The following is a 19,203-nucleotide window of genomic DNA, read 5'->3' on the forward strand; positions in this document are numbered from 1 at the left end:
GGAGGAACTGTTGTTGATAACAGAAAATGTAAACTGGTGAGCCTGACATCAAATCCTGGCCGACTTCCAGGGTGGAGGAGGACACAGATGGCCGGAGAGGACCAGGGTGGGTACCTAAGTCACCAGGAGCCCACATGGTTCTCTAAGAAGCAGTTGTGGTGGCTGAACGTTTGGGTCTCTACAGGGCCACCTGGCTGGGAAACACAGGGAAAAGCCAGGAACCCTGGATGTAAATGTTGCTACGGCATTTGAACATCACTCTTGGACATTCTTGTGCTCAGATAAAAAATCGGGGCTGACCGGCAGCCTAGCTTGCTGGAGGGGAGGTATAGCTGATTGAATACACAGACCAAAATGTGGGGTTGGCTTGAAAACTGTCAGGATGGGCCACGTGTGTTGATCCACGTGGGATTGCACAGACGCACCCTGTGGGTTCTTACTGTAAAACCCCTGCGTCTGGGAAATGCTTTGTCTTCGTGGCACAAACTGTTCCTCTGTTCCTTTTGTCTCCAAGTCCCCTGTTACTCCAGAAGTCCCTTCTCCCAAGCCTTTTCTTTTTTCTTTTCTTTTCTTTTCTTTCTTTCTTTTTTTTGAGACGGAGTCTCGCTCTGTCGCCCAGGCTGGAGTGCAACGGCACAATCTCAACTCACTGCAAACTCCGCCTCCTGTGTAGCTGGGATTACAGGCAACTGCCATCATGCCCAGCTAATTTTTGTATTTTTAGTAGAGGTGGGGTTTCACCATGTTGGTCAGGTTGGTCTCAAACTCCTGACCTGAAGTGATCCACCCGCCTCGGCCTCCCAAAGCGCTGGGATTACAGGCATGAGCCACCGCGCCCAGCCCTCCCAAGCCATTTCTCTGGATCCTGAAGCTAGAGAAGACCTCAGAGAATGGTCTGATGCTGCCCAGAAACCACAAAGGTGGAACATGGTGCATCCCTGTTTTACAGACAAGGGAGGGGACTGATTCTTAGGGAAGGGAAGTGACCTGTCCTATTAGAACCCAGGCGTCAGCTCTCCACCCATCTTCACTTGGTCAAAGTTGGAGGAAAGGGGGCCTTCAGCAGCACCAGGAGGGAATGATAACCAGGCTTCCCTGTCCAGCGCCCTCCCACCATCCCCGCAGCCATGGCCCAGTTGAGATCTTCCATACCTGGGACATGCAGTCAGTCATCACTGATCCAGCCATCTGTGTTGGGAGCCTACTGTGCATCTAGAACAGCCTACTGTTCTAGATGGCGAGGGAAGAGGGACGAACGCAACAGACACAGAGGTCCTTGCCACAGTGCTCCTAGCCCAGCTTGAGCAGCCAGTGCCCCGCCCTGCCTTCCCCTCATCCACGGCCTCTGTGGTCTCCTGGTTGCACACAGAGGGTCCTATTAACCTCCGGAGGCCAGGAGGTCTGTGAGTTTGGGCCTCATATTCAGGAAAGATCTACTTCAACTTTCAAGATTTTGTAGACCCAAACACGGGTCTACAAATGGCCGTTGCATGGTAGTTGTGTCAGAAGTGTTAGTTTGATCAATGTAAACTATTTAGAATGCAGAATGGCTTTGCTACCCCTATTTGATATTTCTTCACGCTTTCAATATAACCAAGCCTTATGCACCTGCTCCAGGTAAGCACCCTGTCCTGGCTGTGACTTAGTGGCCCCCTCGGGTTGGGGCAGCTTCCATGAGCTCATGCATTTTATTTTATTTATTTTTTCATTTTTATTTTTTGAGACTGTCGCCCAGGCTGGAGTGCAGTGGTATGATCTCGGCTCACTGACACGGCCGCCTCCTGGGTTCAAGTGATTTTCCTGCCTCAGCCTCCCGAGTAGCTGGGATTACAGGCACCTGCCACCACACCCGGCTAATTTTTTTCTATTTTTAGTAGAGATGGGGTTTCACCATTTTGGCCAGGCTGGTCTGGAACTCCTGACCTCAGGTCATCCACCCACCTTGGCCTCCCAAAGCGTTGGGATTACAGGCCTGAGCCACTGCGCCCGGCCAGAGCTCATGCATTTTAAAGGTGAGAAAGCCAAGGCATGTCTTCTCCCCCTCCCCCAGCTCAGCCCCCTCACAAAACATGCACAGGTGCACACAAGCATACATGCATGAACATTTGCCTATGCACACATGCTGACCGTGCACACACACATGCACATGCACACTGGACAACTGCACACACTCCCGCCCCAGACCCTGGCTGTGCCCTCCTGTGAGTCACAAGGTGACTCACAGGCACCTCCCTCCTCTCTGATCTTCAGGGTAGGGGAGAGACAGTAAAAGGGAGAGGGAGAAGAGATGTCTCAAAGCCAAACCTAAGAAAGTGACTTTGGGTCCAGCTGGGGCCTGAGGGACAATCAGGGTCAGGGCTGGGGATCCAGGGTGTCCTGCCTGTGCCAGCCCGGAAAACAAGGCACATCAGCACCAAGTCACCAAGGCCCTCCTTCTCTCACAAGCTCCCCTCCCTGTGGGCTCTTTCCCCGCCTGCTGGACCCAGGTTCCAGCTGGAGGGGAGGAAGCCACTAAGATGCAGTGGGGGAAAGTGATGCCCTCACAAACATAATACCACGACACCACACCCCGGGACACCCCCCAGTCACCACCCACAGCCTCCCAGTGGCTTCGTGGGGGATGTGGGTTGTTCAGACTGCAGCCAGCAATCACCAATAACCACCTGGCCCCAACACATCCCTGGCCTAGACACAAAGTCTTCAAATACCCAGGCCTTTTTTTTTTTTTCAGACAGAGTTTCGCTCTTGTTGCCCAGGCTGGAATGCAGTGGCGCGATCTTGGCTAACCGCAACTTCTGCCTCCCTGGTTCAAGCAATTCTCCTGCCTCAGCCTCCCGAGTAGCTGGATTACAGGCATGTGCCACCACACCTAGCTAATTTTGTATTTTTAGTAGAGATGGGGTTTCTCCATGTTGGTCAGGCTGGTCTCGAACTCCCGACCTAAGGTGATCTGCCCACCTCAGTCTCCCAAAGTGTTGGGATTACAGGCATGAGCCACCGCGCCCAACCTACGCTTTTTTTTTTTCAGCTTCAATCACCTGGGCTTGAGTGATCCTCCTGCCTCAGCCTCCCAAGTAGCTAGAATTACAGGAATGTACCACCACGCTCTTTTTTTTTTTTTTTTTTTTTCGGTTGTAGAGATGGGGTTTCTCCATGTTGCTCAGGCTTGTCTCAGACTCCTGGCCTCAAGCAATCCACCAGCCTTGGCCTCCCAAAGTGCTGGGACTGAAGGATGAGCCACTGTGCCCAACCTTCACCTGGTTCTTTACATGCAATCCCTGGGAAGGCTGTGTAGACAGAGTGGGAAGAGTCACTTGGCTTCACAGACGGAAGCCTGGAAGGGGCAAGGCAGGATTTGAAACCCAGGGAGGGGCTGGGGGTTCTGGAGCGCTAGCTTCCAGAGGGTGGAGGCCAGGTCACCGCTGATTTTGGTGGTCATGTTACCTGTACCCCACCCGGGCCATAACCTCCATGGAGTGAGCGGCAGGTGCGCTGGGAGAGCTGGGGGTCTGGGGTCAGGACTGCTGGGGGTGGGGCGACCTGGCCAAGTCAGCACCCCACCCCTGCCTCAGTTTCCCCATTTGAGGAATTTGCCATTGCTGACTCTTCTGAAGCTCTATTATACCAGGACTCAGAAAAGAAAATGAGGGTACCCTGAGGCTGTCTGCAGCTGGGCTGACTGATGGGGGGACCTCTAAGGATGCTTCCCCGCTGTTCCCCTGTTGCTGCCCCCAACTCAGCTGCCAGGGAAAGACGCCCAATATCCCCATTTCCTCAAAGCCCCCTCCTCATGGGAGTCCTCCTCTGGGCTGAACCCTGGACTCCATTCTCCTCTCCTGTCCTGGGGGGCTGGGAGGGAGGTGAATTGGGCCTGACCTGAGCCTCCTGGGGAGATGGGGCTTGGAGAGTAGGGTCAGCCCTGGGTCTAGAAGCTTCTCCCTAGCAGTGCCCAGCTGCTTCCCAGGCCATAGACAGGTGGCCTGGAGCAGGGCTGGGGCAGGCCTCAGGCGGCCCCCACACCCCTGCTTCCGCCTTGAATAGCAGAAACATTCCTACATCTGTCATGGGAAGACGGCCAGCTCCGCCTTCACCCAGGAAACCAAACATTCCCGCTGTGCCCAGCCTTCTTCCCACAAAGTATCAGGGCGTTCGGGGCACCCCACCCCACCCCATGGCCAAGGGGCAGGTGTGTGGGAGAAACCCCCAAGACCTGAGACCTCAGCTTCTGCTGCAGATGCCTGCTCCCTTCCTACACACACACACACACACACACACACACAATACTACCAGCAAAACACAGACATACTCACAGGTGCAAAAGCTCCCAGCCACACCCACAGACAGCTGTACACACACGAACACACACTGGCCACTCACCACAGACCCACAGAGAGGGGGTGCAAACATGCACACACAGTGTTGTTCCCTGCAGCTGAGCTCCCAGAGAACGGAGATCCTGACTCAGTAGTGCTGGTGCACAGTAGGTCTGCAGTGAGTGCCCTTCGGCACCTACCAGCTTTGAACCTCAGTGTGAGGGGTATATTCCTCCATCCACTCCGTTGCCCTCTTCCGCCGCTAGGCTGTGAGTTTCCATGGACAGGATCCTTGTCTGGGGCACAGCTGCATCCCCAGAACGAACACAAGACTTGGTACGTAGCAGGTACCATCCCACAGGATCATGGTCCTGCTGTCACTCCTCCAATCTCCCAAACCAGCTTCCAAGTCACTGCCTGATTCTTCAGGAGAGGAGAGGTGGTCTTGCCATCCTGCCAGAACCCAGGGCACCGAGCCCCTCCTCTCTCACGCACTCAAAGTCACCACTATCTGACCCCTCACCCCTGCACCCTCATGTCCCCAGCCTGCCCCGCCCTTCTCCCAGGACATGGTCCTGCCTGTCCTGCCTCCTGCCCTGGCCATACTCACTTCCCTGCCGCAGTCTGGCCAGCCTCAAGGTCAAGTTCACTGTGCCAGGTGTGAGGGTGAAGAGGACACCCTCAGTCCCTGTCTCAGGGAGCACAAGGCAAACAGGCAATGACAACCTAGGGTGGGGACAAGGGCTCTGATGAGGGGATGAGGGCACGTGGGCAGCTGTGGGGGTCCGAGGAGGGGATACGCAGTCTGTGGCCTTGCTTAAGGAGGAGCAGAGACAGCTGGGCTCCAGAATTCAAGCACTTGACCAACCATCATGCTGCCCTCAAACCATGTCTCCTGTCCCAGAAACAGGTGAGGGAGCAGTGAGGCCTGCTCGACAGCTGGGCCCGGGACTCTGCTCCGAAACATGCCTGTTGCTTTCTTCTCTCTGGCTACAGTTTATTTCATCCTCACTCAAGGAAGCCCTGGTCTCCGGGAGAAAGGCCACATTAGTCCTCCTCAGCTGAAGCCTTCACAGTCCACAGAGTAATTTCACAGCCCCTAGCTCCTTTAATCCTCACAATAGTCTATGGGGACAGATGTCTCTGCCTTCATTTTCTTTCTTTCTTTCTTTCTTTTTTTTTTTTTTTTGAGACAAGAGTCTCACTCTCTGGCCCAGGCTGGAGTGCAGTGGTGCAATCTTGGCTCACTGCAACCTCCACCTCCCGGGTTCAAGTGATTCTCCTGCTTCAGCCTCCTGAGTAGCTGGGATTACAAGCGTGTGCCACCATGCCTGGCTAATTTTTGTATTTTTAGTAGAGACGGGGTTTCACCATGTTGGCCAGGCTGGTCTCGAACTCCTGGTCTCAAATGATCCACCTGCCTCAGCCTCCCAAAGTGCTGGGATTACAGGCGTGAGCCACCTCACCCACCCTACTTTCATCTTCTAGATGGTGGGAAGCTCAGAGAGTTGTAAAAGCCAGGTAAAAGCAAACATTTACTCGGCTGTGTGGCAGTGAATTCTATAGGAATGTGTTTGGTGTCAGGTCAAAGAAAAATCCAATTTATAGTGGTTTAGGGAAGAAAAATAGGCGTTAATCTTTCTTCCATAACAAGAAATCAGGAGGCAGTAACGCTTGCCTTGATGATGGCAGGGCTGGATTTCCTGCAATCTCTTTGTCATCCTTATCATCTCATTACTACAGAATGGCTGCTGACCCGCCAACTGTCACATCTGCATTCAAGGCAGGAAGAAGGGAAACAAGGAAAGGGCAGTCTCCCTGGAAGTCTCTGTCTTCTGATGAGGATGAGTCCCCACTGTCACCCTCCCTGCACACCCCACAGACTTCCTCTCATGTCTCATTAGCCAGAGTGCCGTTATATGGCCACACTCAGACCCACCATCGGTCCAGGAGAATCAGATGCCCAGGACTGATGAGACCAGCCTCTGGCACTGAGATCGCAGCATTTCAGCTGGTTCCATAAGCAGACCAGGGCTCTGTTTAGCAAGAGAAATAAGGAGGGATGGCTGCTGGGCAGGGTCTGCCCTCCCAAAAATTGCCACAGGAAGCAGTTCCCAGGCATAGTCCCATTTGATCCTCACACAATCTCATAAAGCTGAGACGATTCTCTGCCAATTTAGCAGACAAGGAGACAAAGCTAGCAAACAGCAGAGCTGGCACCTAGACCCAAACCTGGGTTCCTCACCACTCTGCCGCCTGCAGGTCACCAGAGGCCTCAAATGCACGGGGCTGCTGCCGGGTGTCAGTTACATCCGCCTCACCTGCACCTGCCGTCTCTTGGCTCTGAGTGTGCAGGTCAGGGTACTTGAGTGCCCAGGTACTGACAGGTGACTGCACCATGCAGAGCTCCATGTGGCCGCTGTGCACTGGAGAGCTTTGCCCAGAGCTATGGGCTGAGCCCCTGCCATTGGTTCCTTCATCCGTCCAGCGTCTGCAGGCCCCAGGCACCAAGGCAGGCCTTAGGAGGCACAGGCGCAGATCCTGACCTCAAAGACAGACTTTGGCACCCAGTGCCTTCCTAATTCAAGGAGATCTTGGGTAGAATGTTTGAATGCATTCAGAGAAGAAAAACCTCACTTCTGGCCAGAGAGCTGCAGGAGCAGGTTTTTTTTTTTCTTATTTCTTTCCCCAACTTTTTATTGTATTTTTGTTTGTTTGTTTGTTTGAGATAGCGTCTCACTCTATTGCCCAGGCTGGAGTGCAGTGACATGATCTCGGCTCACTGCAACCTCCACCTTCCAGGTTCAAGCAGTTCTCCTGCCTCAGCCTCCCGAGTAGCTGGGACTACAGGTGCCCACCACCATGCCCGGCTCATTTTTGTATTTTTAGTAGAGACAGGGTTTCGCCACGTTTCCCTGGCTGGTCTTGAACTCCTGAACTCAAGTGATCTGCCTGCCTCGGCCTCCCAAAATGCAGGGATTACAGACGTGAGCCACTGCGCCTGCACTTACTGTGTTAAAATACACATAACAAAAAATTTACCATTGTAAGCCAGGTGCAGTGACTCATGCCTGTAATCCCAGCACTTTGGGAGGCTGAGGCAGGCAGATCACAAGGTCAGGAGTTCGAGACCAGCCTAGCCAATATGGTGAAACCTTGTCTCTATGAAAAATACAAAAATTAGACGGGTGGTGGCGTGTGCCTGTAGTCCCAGCTACTCGGGAGGCTGAGGCAGAAATATTGCTTGAACCCGGGAGATGGAGGTTACAGTGAGTCGAGATTGGGCCACTGCACTCCAGCCTGGGCGACAGAGGGAGACTCTGTCTAAAAAAAAAAAAAAATGTGCCATTGTAACTGTTTTAAGTGTACAGTTCGTAGTATTAAGTACATTCATAATGTTGCGTGACCATCGCCCCCATTGTCTCCAGAACTATTTTCATTTTGTAAAACTGAAACTCTGTATCCATTAAACGCTAACTCCGCAATCCCCCCTCCCAGCCTCTGGCAACCACCATTCTACTTTTTGTCTCTATAATTTTGACTAATCTAATTATATCATATGATGGAATCATACAGCACTGGCACTTTTGTGAATGGCTTCTTTCACTTAGCAGAATGTCCTTAAGGTTCTTCCATGTTGCAGCATATCCCAGGATTTCCTTCCTTTTGAAGGTTAAATAATATTCCATTGTACGTTGATATAGTTTGGATGTTTGTTCCCTCTAAAATCATGTGGAAATGTAGGCTGGGTGTGGTGGCTCATGCCTTTAATCCCAGCACTTTGGGAGGCCGAGGCAGGCGGATCACTTGAGGTCAGGAGTTCGAGACCTGCCTGGCCAACATGGTGAAACCCTGTCTCTACTAAAAATACACAAGAAAGTAGCCGGACACAGTGGCAGGCGCCTGTAGTCCCAGCTACTAGGGAGGCTGAGGCAGGAGAATGGTGTGAACCCAGGAGGTGGAGATTACAGTGAGCCGAGATCGCGCCACTGCACTCCAGCCTGGGCGACACAGCAAGACTGGGCAACAGAGCAAGCCTCCTTCTCAAAAGAAAAAAAAATTTTAAAAAAGTCTGTGGCGGCCGGGCGCGGTGGCTCACGCCTGTAATCCCAGCACTTTGGGAGGCCGAGGCGGGTGGATCACGAGGTCAGGAGATCGAGACCATCCTGGCTAACAAGGTGAAACCCGTCTCTACTAAAAATACAAAAAATTAGCCGGGCGCGGTGGCGGGCGCCTGTAGTCCCAGCTACTCGGGAGGCTGAGGCAGGAGAATGGCGTGAACCCGGGAAGCGGAGCTTGCAGTGAGCCAAGATTGCGCCACTGCAGTCCGCAGTCCGGCCTGGGCGACAGAGCGAGACTCCGTCTCAAAAAAAAAAAAAAAAAAAAAAAAGTCTGTGGCACCCCTGCCCCCCACTCTCTCGTGCTTCTGCTCTCACCATGCGACATGCCTGCTCCGCCTTTGCCTTCCGCCGTTATTGTAACGTCCGTAAGGCCTCACCAGGAGCAGACACTGGCGCCATGCTGGTACAGCCTGCAGAACTGTGAGCCAATGAAACCTCATCTTTATAAATTGCCCAGCCTCTGGTATTTCTTTCTAGCAATACCAAAATGGAATATCGCTCTGTCACCCAGGCTGGAGTGCAGTGGCGCGATCTTGGCTCGCTGCAACCTCCACCTCCCAAGTTCAAGTGGTTCTCCTGCCTCAGCCTGTCGAGTAGCTGGAATTACAGGTGGCCGCCACCACGCCCGGCTAATTTTTGTATTTTTAGTGGAGACAGGGTTTCACTCTGTTGGCCAGGCTGAACAACAGAGAGTTGGCTGGCCAACTCTCGAACTCCTGACCTCAGGTGATCCGCCTGCCTCAACCTCCCAAAGTGCTGGGAGCACAGGCGTGAACCACCGTGCCCGGCCATGCTTCCACCTTTTGGCTATTGTGAATCATTCCACTGTGAACCTGGGTGTGCAAATATTTCTTCGAGACCCTGTTTTAAGTTCTTTGGGGTATCTACCCAGAAGTGGGATTGCTGGGTCATATCGTAATTCTGTGTGAATGTTTCTGGGGAACCACCCTGCTGTTTTCCACAGTGGCTATACCATTTTACATTCCTCCAGGGGCGGTTTTCTAGTGAATTTGAGGTTGACTTTGAAGATAGTCAGTGAAGTACAGATGTGGAGAAAGGCACGGCCTGGATATGGAGGAGGAGGGCAGGTGACAGGCGGGGAGGCTTGGGAGGAAGAAGCCTCCCTGGGCTGACCACAGAGGGTTCTGCATGCCTTGTTGGTGAGTGTGAGCCTCGCCTGGGGTCAGAAGTCATAGAAGGTTATGAGCAAGGGAGTGGCTTGACTACTCTGTGTCAAGAAGCCTAAGGGGGCAGCAGAGAGTGACGTGGCTCATGGTGGGATAGTCCGGGGTGAGGAGAAGGAACCCCAGAGGAGTTTCTCAATGGTTGGGTCAAAAGAGAGTGAGGACCCAAAACCAAGGCCACAGAAGGAAGAAGAAAGGACAGTGAACATGGAGCTGGGTCAGCAGGGCCCGGGCTGCGGTGAGGCAAGCCAGGCACACACCCGGAGCACAACATTTTAAAACAAGACAGGATCTGACAAAGCCAAGATTAGAGTGAGGCGAGCGAGGCATTGTGTAAGTGCTCGTTTCAACTCCTGTCTTGAAGTGAAATTTTGAAATTTTGGCTCATGGTAAATTTTTTTTCTTTCTTTCTTTTTTTTTTTTTTTTTTTTTTTTTTGAGTTGGAGTCTCGCTCACCCAGGCTTGAGTGCAGTGGTGCAATCTTAGCTCACTACAACCTCCGCCTCCCAGGTTCAAGCGATTCTCCTGCCTCAGCCTCTCAAGTAGCTGGGATTACAAGCGCCCGCCACCATGTCTGGCTAATTTTTGTGTTTTTAGTAGAGACGGGGTTTCACCATGTTGGCCAGACTGGTCTCAAATTCCTGACCTCAAGTATCTGCCCACCTCGGCCTCCCAAAGTGCTGGGATTACAGGCATGAGCCACCACTCCCGGACTGGCTCGTGGTGAACTTGTTTGCATTAATTTTGATTTCTTAAAATACTGCATGAGGCTGAGCGTGGTGGCTCACGCCTGTAATTCCAGCACTTCAGGGGGCTGAAGCAGGCAGATCATTGAGGTCAGGAGTTTGAGACCAGCCTGGCCAACATGGCAAAACCCTGTCTGTCCTAAAAATACAAAAATTAGCCAGGTGTGGTGGCATGTGCCTGTGGTCCCAGCTACGCAGGCAGCTGAAGCACAAGAATCACTTGAACCCAGGAGGCGAAGGTTGCAGTGAGCTGAGATCACGCTACTGCACTCCAGCTTGGGTGACAGAGCACGACTCTGCCTCAAAAAATATATACATATTGCATGAAATGATGACTTATTTTGATCACTGAGAATTTTTGGTGCCCCTTTAACCTTTGCACCTGGGGCAGGTGTCTCACCCTTAGTCCTGTCCCCACAAGACATGTTCCATCACCTAACAACATGAAGTGAGTGCCCATGGTGTGTCCGCAGCTGAGCTAGGATCTGGGAATCCAGTCATAGGTAAAACAGCTACACACTTCTTCATCCTTCAATGTACAGCCAAAGAGATCCTAAGTCAGAAGGGACAGCTATCTGGGCAGGCAGCCTCATCCTGTGCTCAGCTGGAAGAAATGGAAGAAACGTGGTACAGAATGAAACAGACATTCCACTTACGTTTCGTTGTTTTGACCACACACCGTCTGAACCGCACCTTGTAGGCTGTGGACCCAGGGACCACCCCCCGCCCGCCCGCCTAGAAACTAAAAATCCCCACTACGCCCTTTCTCAGACACAGCTGAAGTCTGTGAGGCTCACCAGTCAGGCACACCAACTCAAGACTGAACAACAAAATTAGTGCTGCAAAGAAGCAGAGCGTCTCCCTGGCTGAGCCGTGGAGCCACAGTGCCCAGTGCTGGGTATTCAGTTGGAAGGTGCCAGTCACAGGGGCTGCAGTGTCAAACAGGTGTTCAGAGCACTGACCTCAGGCTGCATTGGAGAGGACTGATCCTGTTTGCATACCACAAAACCAGGTCTCCAAGCCTGCTCAGCAATGCATGAGTCACCTGGAATTCTTTGAATATCCTTTTCAATATCCATTCTTTGAACATCCGTTTCTTTATAAGTTAACCGGAGCTGGTTTATGTTACCTGCAACTAAGAACCTTGCCTTATATAGAAGTTGGTGTCAGGAGTGGTTACAGGCAGTGGATGTTGGAGGAAGCTCGGAGAAGCTGGAATTGGTTATCTGGACTGCTTGGGGCTGAAGTCAGTAAAAATTCAGCACATCATAAGGGCTCAGATCTGGAAGCCATGGCATGCAGGGGAAGCAGAATGTCAGATTTGCCACCTGGAGTCACCGGGAAGGAAGAGCCCGTTGAAAACAAAGCTTCATTGAGAATTCATTGCCTTAGAAAAGAATGAAAGGAATGAGGAATTAGACTGAATGGGCTCTACAGCACTGCACTGTTAAAGATGCAGAAGCCCGTCTCCTAAATTCCTAAATTCTTGGCTCAAGACCCAGATCAAAAACTGAGGACTTCTGGGCCAGGTGCAGTACCTCATGCCTGTAATCCCGGTACTTTGCGAGGCCGAGGCAGGAGGATCACTTTTGCTCAGGAGTTCGAGACCAACCTGGGCAACATAGTGAGACCCCCATCTCTACTAAGTAAAGACCCTGTTTTTACTTTTTTCTACTAAAAAGTTTAAAAATATATATATCAGCCAGGCATGGTGTGTGCACCTGTAGTCCTAGCTACTTGGGAGGCTGAGGCGGGAGAATGGCTTGAGTCGGGGAAATCGAGACTGCAGTGAGCTTTGATCACACCACTGCACTCCAGCCTGAGTGACAGAGCAAGAACCTGTCTTAAAAACAAAAAAACTAAAAAATAAAAAATAAGGGAAGAAAGAAAACGAAGGACTTCTATAACTGCAGTAAAAATGTTTCCTAATTCTCACTGTGGTAAGACTGAGACAGCCAAAAATGAAACTCAAAATTCGAGCCTACAGAATGGTGAATTACATCATGAGCGATGCCATGGCCTCACCAGCTCTAAGGAGGATTCTGGCTGATTGGAACACCCTGAACCCTCACTCCCCGCCAAGTCCCCTTGCCAGCTGAGCAGCTCCTCTTCGCTGTCTGATGCGGCTGGTCCTGCCGAAGAAGGGACCCTGTAATCACCCTCATGTGGCCCCCATCCTCAGAGTCTTCAGCTGGAGTCAGGTGGCAGGAGGCCCTGAGGGGCGAGATTAAATAGCAATCTCAAACCAAAACCTGTGTAGAATGTCATTTCCTATCATCAGACATCTGGGGGAGATGTGTGAGTGGGTTCTGAGGACATACGTCAAGGAGGAGCGAATGCAGCTTTGGATGGGGCTGAATGTATCCATGCTGCTCCACCAACAGGGGGCCCTGCATCCAAGGTGCCAACTTCATCAGCGGGGGGCGGCCCTGATTGTTTCTACCACTGCTTTGTCGGCTGGCAGGTGAGGTGAAGGCCAACGCAGAGGTTGCCCCCCCCCCCCCCAACCTGGAGATGACAGAGACACCAAGGCATGACAGAGCCAGAGGAATGGACTGAGCATGGATGACCCTTTACCACAATGCCCAAGGACCCAAAGTACCGGCCCTACACCCACACGGCGAGCCACCTTGCAGAGGGCCCAACACCCTTCGGAATGTGTTAGTGTCCAGGGAAGGTGTCTGGCCAGTGGCCTGCCTCTGGATTTCTGGAGTGGAAACCAAGACCTGAGATGACAGAAGCCCGAGGCAGCAGTGACTGCCAGGGGTGGTGGGGGTGCATCACTGTCACAGGCACAGGGCCGGGTGCTGTGGCACACGCCTTTAATCCTAGCACTTTGGGAGCCCGAGGAGGGTGATCACCTGAGGTTAGGAGTTCGAGACTAGCCTGACCAACATGGTGACACCCTGTCTCAACTAAACATACAAAAAATTAGCTGGGCATGGTGGCAGGCGCCAGCTACTTTGGGAGGCTGAGACAGGAGAATTGCTTGAACCGAGGAGGTAGAAGTTGCAGTGAGCTGAGATTGCACCATTGCACTCCAGTCTGGGTGACAAGAACGGAACTCTGTCTAAAAAATAAAAAATAAAAAAAATAAAAAAAATAAAAACAGGCACAGGACCAGGTCACTGTCCCAACAGCCTGACCAACAGGGATTAGTGAAATATAAATAATAAGAATATGAATAATAAATAGTAAGAGCTATTTATGACAAACCCACAGCCAATATCATACTGAATGGGCAAAAACTGGAAGCATTCCCTTTGAAAACTGGCACGAGACAGGGATGCCCTCTCTCACCACTCCTATTCAACATAGTGTTGAAAGTTCTGGCCAGGGCAATCAGGCAAGAGAAAGAAATAAAGGGTATTCAACTAGGAAAAGAGGAAGTCAAATTGTCCCTGTTTGCAGATGACATAATTGTATATTTAGAAAACCCCATTGTCTTAGCCCAAAATCTCCTTAAGCTGATAAGCAACTTCAGCAAAGTCTCAGGATACAAAATCAATGTGCAAAAATCACAAGCATTCCTATATACTAATAACAGACAAACAGAGAGCCAAATCATGAGTGAACTCCCATTCACAATTCCCTAGGAATCCAACTTACAAGGGATGTGAAGGACATCTTCAAGGAGAACTAGAAACCACTGCTCAACGAAATAAAAGAGGACACAAACAAATGGAAGAACATTCCATGCTCATGGATAGGAAGAATCATTATCGTGAAAATGGCCATACTGCCCAAGGTAATTTATAGATTCAGTGTCATCTCCATCAAGCTACAAATGACTTTCTTCACAGTATTGGAAAAAACTACTTTAAAGTTCATATGGAACCAAAAAAGAGCCCACATTGCCAAGACAATCCTAAGCCAAAAGAACAAAGCTGGAGGCATCATGCTACCTGACTTCAAACTATACTACAAGGCTACAGTAATCAAAACAGCATGGTACTGGTACCAAAACAGAGATATAGACCAATGGAACAGAACAGAGGCCTCAGAAATAACACCACACATCTACAACCATCTGATCTTTGACAAACCTGACAAAAACAAGAAAAGGGGGAAGGATTCCCTATTTAATAAATGGTGCTGGGAAAACTGGCTAGCCATATGTAGAAAGCTGAAACTGGATCCCTTCCTTACACCTTTTACAAAAATTAATTCAAGGTGGATTATAGTCTTAAATGTTAAACCTAAAACCATTAAAAACCCTAGAAGAAAACCTAGGCAATACCATTCAGGACATAAGCATGGGCAAGGACTTCACGACTAAAACACCAAAAGCAACGGCAACAAAAGCCAAAATAGACAAATGGGATCTAATTAAACTAAAGAGCTTCTGCACAGCAAAAGAAACTACCATCAGAGTGAACAGGCAAACTACAGAATGGGAAAAAATTTTTGCAATCTACCCATCTGACAAAGGGCTAATATCCAGAATCTACAAAGAACTTAAGCAAATTTACAGGAAAAAAAAACAAACAACTCCATCAAAAAATGGGTAAAGGATATGAACACACACTTCTCCAAAGAAGACATTTATACAGCCCACAGATACATGAAAAAATGCTCATCATCACTGGTCATCAGAGAATTGCAAATCAAAATCACAATGAGATACCATCTCACACCAGTTAGAATGGTGATCATTAAAAAGTCAGGAAACAACAGATGCTGGAGAGGATGTGGAGAAATAGGAACACTTTTACATGGTTGGTGGGAGTGTAAATTAGTTCAACCATTGTGGAAGACTGTGTGGCAATTCCTCAAGGATCCAAAACTAGAAATACCATTTTACCCAGTGATCCCATTACTGGTATATACCCAAAGGATTATAAATCATGCTACTATAAAGACACGTGCACACGTACGTTTATTGTGGCACTATTCACAATAGCAAAGACTTGGAACCAACCCAAATGTCCATCAATGTTAGACTGGTTAAGAAAATGTGGCACATATATACTATGGAATACTATGCAGCCATAAAAAAGGATGAGTTCATGTCCTTTGCAGGGACATGGATGAAGCTGGAAACCGTCATTCTCAGCAAACTATCACAAGGACAGAAAACCAAACACCGCATGTTCTCACTCATAGGTGGGAATTGAACAATGAGAACACTTTGACACAGGGTGGGGAACATCACTCACCAGGACCTGCCGTGGGGTTGGGGGCTGAGGGAGGGATAGCATTAGGAGAAATACATAATGTAAATGATGAGTTGATGGGTGCAGCAAACCAACATGGCACATGTGTACCTATGTAACAAACCTGCACGTTGTGCACATGTACCCTAGAACTTAAAGTGTAATAAAAAAAATAATAATAATTTAAAAAGAAAAAACAGGCACAGGACCAGGTCGCTGTCCCAACAGACTGACCAACAGGGATTCGTGGATCTAAGGGATTCGTGGATCTAAGGGATTCGTGGATCTAATGGATCACAAGTTCCCAAGGGCAAAAATGGATGGGACCCTACAAGGACCTGTGGCTTTTACAACCAGAAAGGCCTGGGTTTGGTAAACAGGGGTCCGACTTGAGACCCCCTCCCCCACTGTCCCCCGGACAGAGGCACGCATTCCCTCCCCCAGTCCCAGACCCGAGTTAGTTTGCAAACCCAGACCTCCCTCAATGAAGGAAGACCTGACGTTACACCTGGAGTCTGCGCCGTGAATCTCCCCACAGGGGGACTGTGGACTTGGTCGTTTACCACATTTACAGGAGAAATAACTGTGTAACGGGAAGCCGGTGGTGGGGGTGAACCTTGCTGAGCCCTTGTTTCCCTTGTTTCTTCATCTGTAACAGGAGGACTGGAAGTGAGGCAGGAGGCAAGACTCGACACTGGACCAGATTGAGGACTAGCTAAAACAAGGAAGAGGCAAAAGCACCTTTCCATAAGACACACCCATCAGTGTGCCTTGTCACTTTACCATTGCCATGGCAACATCCAGACATTAATGCCTCTTTCCATGGCAACGACCCATGACCCGGAAGTTACTGCCCTTTATCTAGAAATTTCTGCATAATTTTCCCCGTAATTTGCATATAATTAAGTGGGTATAAATATGACTGCATAATTGCTCCTGAGCTGCTACCCTCAGCATACTGACCTTGGAGTAGCCCTGCTCTGCAGGAGCAGTCTCAGAACTGTTAACACTTCCACTTCAATAGAGATGTTTTCTTCCCCTATCAGCTCACTCTTGGATTCTTTCCTGAGCAAAGCCAAGAACCTTCCTGGGGTAAGCCCCAATCTGGGGCTCACTTGCCCCACATGACAAGTATCATCAACTTAATTGAGCAGAATAACGGGACGGTGCCTGAGTATGCATGCACACACTGACTGCAGCTGAGCTCTTAATCCTCTGTGATTTTGTGTTCATTCTTTCCATTGTTTCCATCTTTAGTCCACCATGCTGTGATCAGCCAGTTTCAGGATGCTGAGAGGAAAAAGATGACAACTCCTACCATTGACCAAAGGCCAAATATGTGCCAGGGGCAGTGCTCAATCCTCATGTCTCTAACCTGTGCAACAGTTCCGTAAGGTCACACAGAAGGAGTGAGCAATGGGGGTCTGATGTGTTGTCTCCTCTGTGGCACCAACCTCCTCAGAGGTAATAGAACAAGGTGACAACAACAGAGCCTGGGAGTAAGTGAGGGTGAAAAATAGAAAAGGGAGGAAGAAAGAGGATGGATGGATGGATGGATGGATGGATGGATGGATGGACAGGTAGATGGATGGATGGATGGATGGATGGATGGATGGACAGGTGGATGGACAGATGGATGGACGGATGGATGGATGGATGGACAGGTAGATGGATGGATGGATGGATGGATGGATGGATGGATAGATGGATGGATGGATGGACAGGTGGATGGATGGATGGATGGATGGATGGGCAGGTGGACAGGTGGATGGATGGATGGATGGACAGGTGGACAGGTAGACGGACAGAGGGATGGACAGATGGATGGATGGATGGACAGGTAGATGGATGGATGGATGGATGGATGCACGGATGGATGGACGGATGGATGGATGGACAGGTGGACAGGTAGACGGATGGATGGATGGACAGGTAGGCAGGTAGACGGATGGTTGGACGGACGGATAGGTAGATGGGTGGGTGGATGGGCGGGTGGATGGGTGGATGGATGGACAGGTGGATGGATGGATGGATGGATGGATGGATGGATGGATGGATAAATACGCAGATGGGTGGGTGGGCGGGTAGGTGAATGGACAGGTGGGTAGATGAAGAAGTATAGACATGGAGAGAGACAATGGCTAGATAGACTTAGAAGGTGAATTAAACATGATCCCAACCCTCCAGGATTTCCCAATCAAGGAAGAGGGTGTGCTAAGTGTGGAGCTTGCCAAGAAGTTGAAATATTTTATCTGTAGTGACACACTCAGAGTCTTGCATTTTCCAGCCACACCATAGTGTGTGTGATGAAGACCAGCCAGGCAGGCTGTGACTTGGAGCCAACATACTTGATTGCTCCAATAACAGATTTGTATGTTGCTTCATTTGACAGGCTGGTCGAGTGCCTACTAGGTACGAGGCACTGTTCTAGGCTCTGAGGACAGAGTAGTGAACAAGGTAACTCCAGGTGGAGTTTCCATGGGGAGTGGAGAAGGGAGATGAGGAGAGATATACACGTGGAGTGAGCCAGATGAGGCCAGATGCTACAGAGATCAACAGAGCAGAGTGAGAAAGGGGGGCTTGGGGCAGGGGCAGGTGGGACAGGATGGGTGTCACTTGCATGGATGCCTGAAGGCAGCATAGGGGTGAGTCACAGCTCCTCTGAGATTGGGGAGAAGCAGGGACTTCCCCAGGATCATCAGTAACAATGTGGCCGGGTCAAGGCTGTCACCCAAGTACATGGACAGGTGTTGGGGTTCTGGGGTTCCTGAGCTGACACTTTAAAATACTGGAAACACACCAGACATGGTGTCAGCAGAGGAGGAAAGGGTGGAGCTTGGACCTAGCCACCAGCAGCTGCATGCTCTCCCTAAGCCTGCGTGCCCTCCCTAAGCCTGCGTGCTGTCCCTGTCCTGTCTGTTATCTCCTTCATCCCTCAAAAACGGTCTTATGTGTACTAGGAGCTCACGGATAGTTTACTTTAGTAGCAGTAAATGTTTCACATTTTATTATTTTACAAAAGCAAAAATTGCTGTCCAAAGAAAGCTACAGCTCCACGCTCTGGTTGAAGGCTGAGGGCCGGGACCAAGAAGACACCTTGGGGAAATGAGGATCTGAGTGAACAGAGGAGAGTTCCTAAGAGTTCGCAAGGTGAAGCTGAGTGCCTGAGGAGGGTAGGAGAGAAAAGGACCAGCCCAGCAGCCATGTTCTCTCTCTCCCAAAGTAAACGGGGCTATTAGGATTAGGTTCAGTTGCAAGGGACAGAAAACCCAAAACCAGAGTAGCTCAAACAGAAAGAAGTTTCTTTCTTCCGTGAAAGCTCCTGAACAAGGCAGCCCAGGTATTGGGGACCCTGCCTTCCATCTTGCTCCATAATCCTCAGCATGTGGCTTTCACCTCATGGCTCAACATGGCTGCTTGAGCACCAGACATCACATCTGTATTACAGCCAACAGTGCAGTGGAAAGGCATGAAGAAAAGAATGCTTTCTCTCCAGCAAAGGGGTTTCTGGAAGAATGCCATTTTAGCCTGGCAACATTAAGACCTTGAAAAAGCCCACCGGGCCCCTGGAAGGCCCACGGACTCTGCTGCGCTGCTGTATGGGATGGCACCCAGGAAATGGGCACCCAGGCCTCGGAAGTGCCTGCAGCAATCCATGGCACAGACCAGCTGTTGGTAGCTGC

The 19,203-nt window shown here is 50.3% G+C and overlaps 8 annotated features.

Annotated features, from left to right (window-relative positions):
* Positions 1,725–2,664: an enhancer, noted in NCBI's record as "H3K27ac-H3K4me1 hESC enhancer chr22:39601000-39601939 (GRCh37/hg19 assembly coordinates)". NCBI's record gives its function as "activates a minimal SCP1, AML or CMV promoter by ChIP-STARR-seq in primed H9 embryonic stem cells {active_cell/tissue: H9 hESC(primed)}" and the evidence as "EXISTENCE:reporter gene assay evidence [ECO:0000049][PMID:30033119]".
* Positions 1,725–2,686: a biological region, named in NCBI's record as "H3K27ac-H3K4me1 hESC enhancer GRCh37_chr22:39601000-39601939".
* Positions 2,637–2,686: an enhancer, noted in NCBI's record as "active region_19035". NCBI's record gives its function as "activates an Ori minimal core promoter by ATAC-STARR-seq in GM12878 lymphoblastoid cells {active_cell/tissue: GM12878}" and the evidence as "EXISTENCE:reporter gene assay evidence [ECO:0000049][PMID:35858748]".
* Positions 6,109–6,609: an enhancer, noted in NCBI's record as "H3K27ac hESC enhancer chr22:39605384-39605884 (GRCh37/hg19 assembly coordinates)". NCBI's record gives its function as "activates a minimal SCP1, AML or CMV promoter by ChIP-STARR-seq in naive H9 embryonic stem cells {active_cell/tissue: H9 hESC(naive)}" and the evidence as "EXISTENCE:reporter gene assay evidence [ECO:0000049][PMID:30033119]".
* Positions 9,792–10,411: an enhancer, noted in NCBI's record as "H3K27ac-H3K4me1 hESC enhancer chr22:39609067-39609686 (GRCh37/hg19 assembly coordinates)". NCBI's record gives its function as "activates a minimal SCP1, AML or CMV promoter by ChIP-STARR-seq in primed H9 embryonic stem cells {active_cell/tissue: H9 hESC(primed)}" and the evidence as "EXISTENCE:reporter gene assay evidence [ECO:0000049][PMID:30033119]".
* Positions 10,412–11,030: an enhancer, noted in NCBI's record as "NANOG-H3K27ac-H3K4me1 hESC enhancer chr22:39609687-39610305 (GRCh37/hg19 assembly coordinates)". NCBI's record gives its function as "activates a minimal SCP1, AML or CMV promoter by ChIP-STARR-seq in primed H9 embryonic stem cells {active_cell/tissue: H9 hESC(primed)}" and the evidence as "EXISTENCE:reporter gene assay evidence [ECO:0000049][PMID:30033119]".
* Positions 11,047–12,246: an enhancer, noted in NCBI's record as "MED14-independent group 3 enhancer chr22:39610322-39611521 (GRCh37/hg19 assembly coordinates)". NCBI's record gives its function as "activates an origin of replication core promoter dependent on BRD2, BRD4, P300/CBP and CDK7 cofactors, and independent of MED14, by STARR-seq in HCT116 cells {active_cell/tissue: HCT116}" and the evidence as "EXISTENCE:reporter gene assay evidence [ECO:0000049][PMID:35650434]".
* Positions 12,890–13,507: an enhancer, noted in NCBI's record as "H3K27ac-H3K4me1 hESC enhancer chr22:39612165-39612782 (GRCh37/hg19 assembly coordinates)". NCBI's record gives its function as "activates a minimal SCP1, AML or CMV promoter by ChIP-STARR-seq in naive H9 embryonic stem cells {active_cell/tissue: H9 hESC(naive)}" and the evidence as "EXISTENCE:reporter gene assay evidence [ECO:0000049][PMID:30033119]".

Source organism: Homo sapiens, chromosome 22 (genome assembly GCF_000001405.40).
Source record: "Homo sapiens chromosome 22, GRCh38.p14 Primary Assembly".
Taxonomy (NCBI): Eukaryota; Metazoa; Chordata; class Mammalia; order Primates; family Hominidae; genus Homo; species Homo sapiens.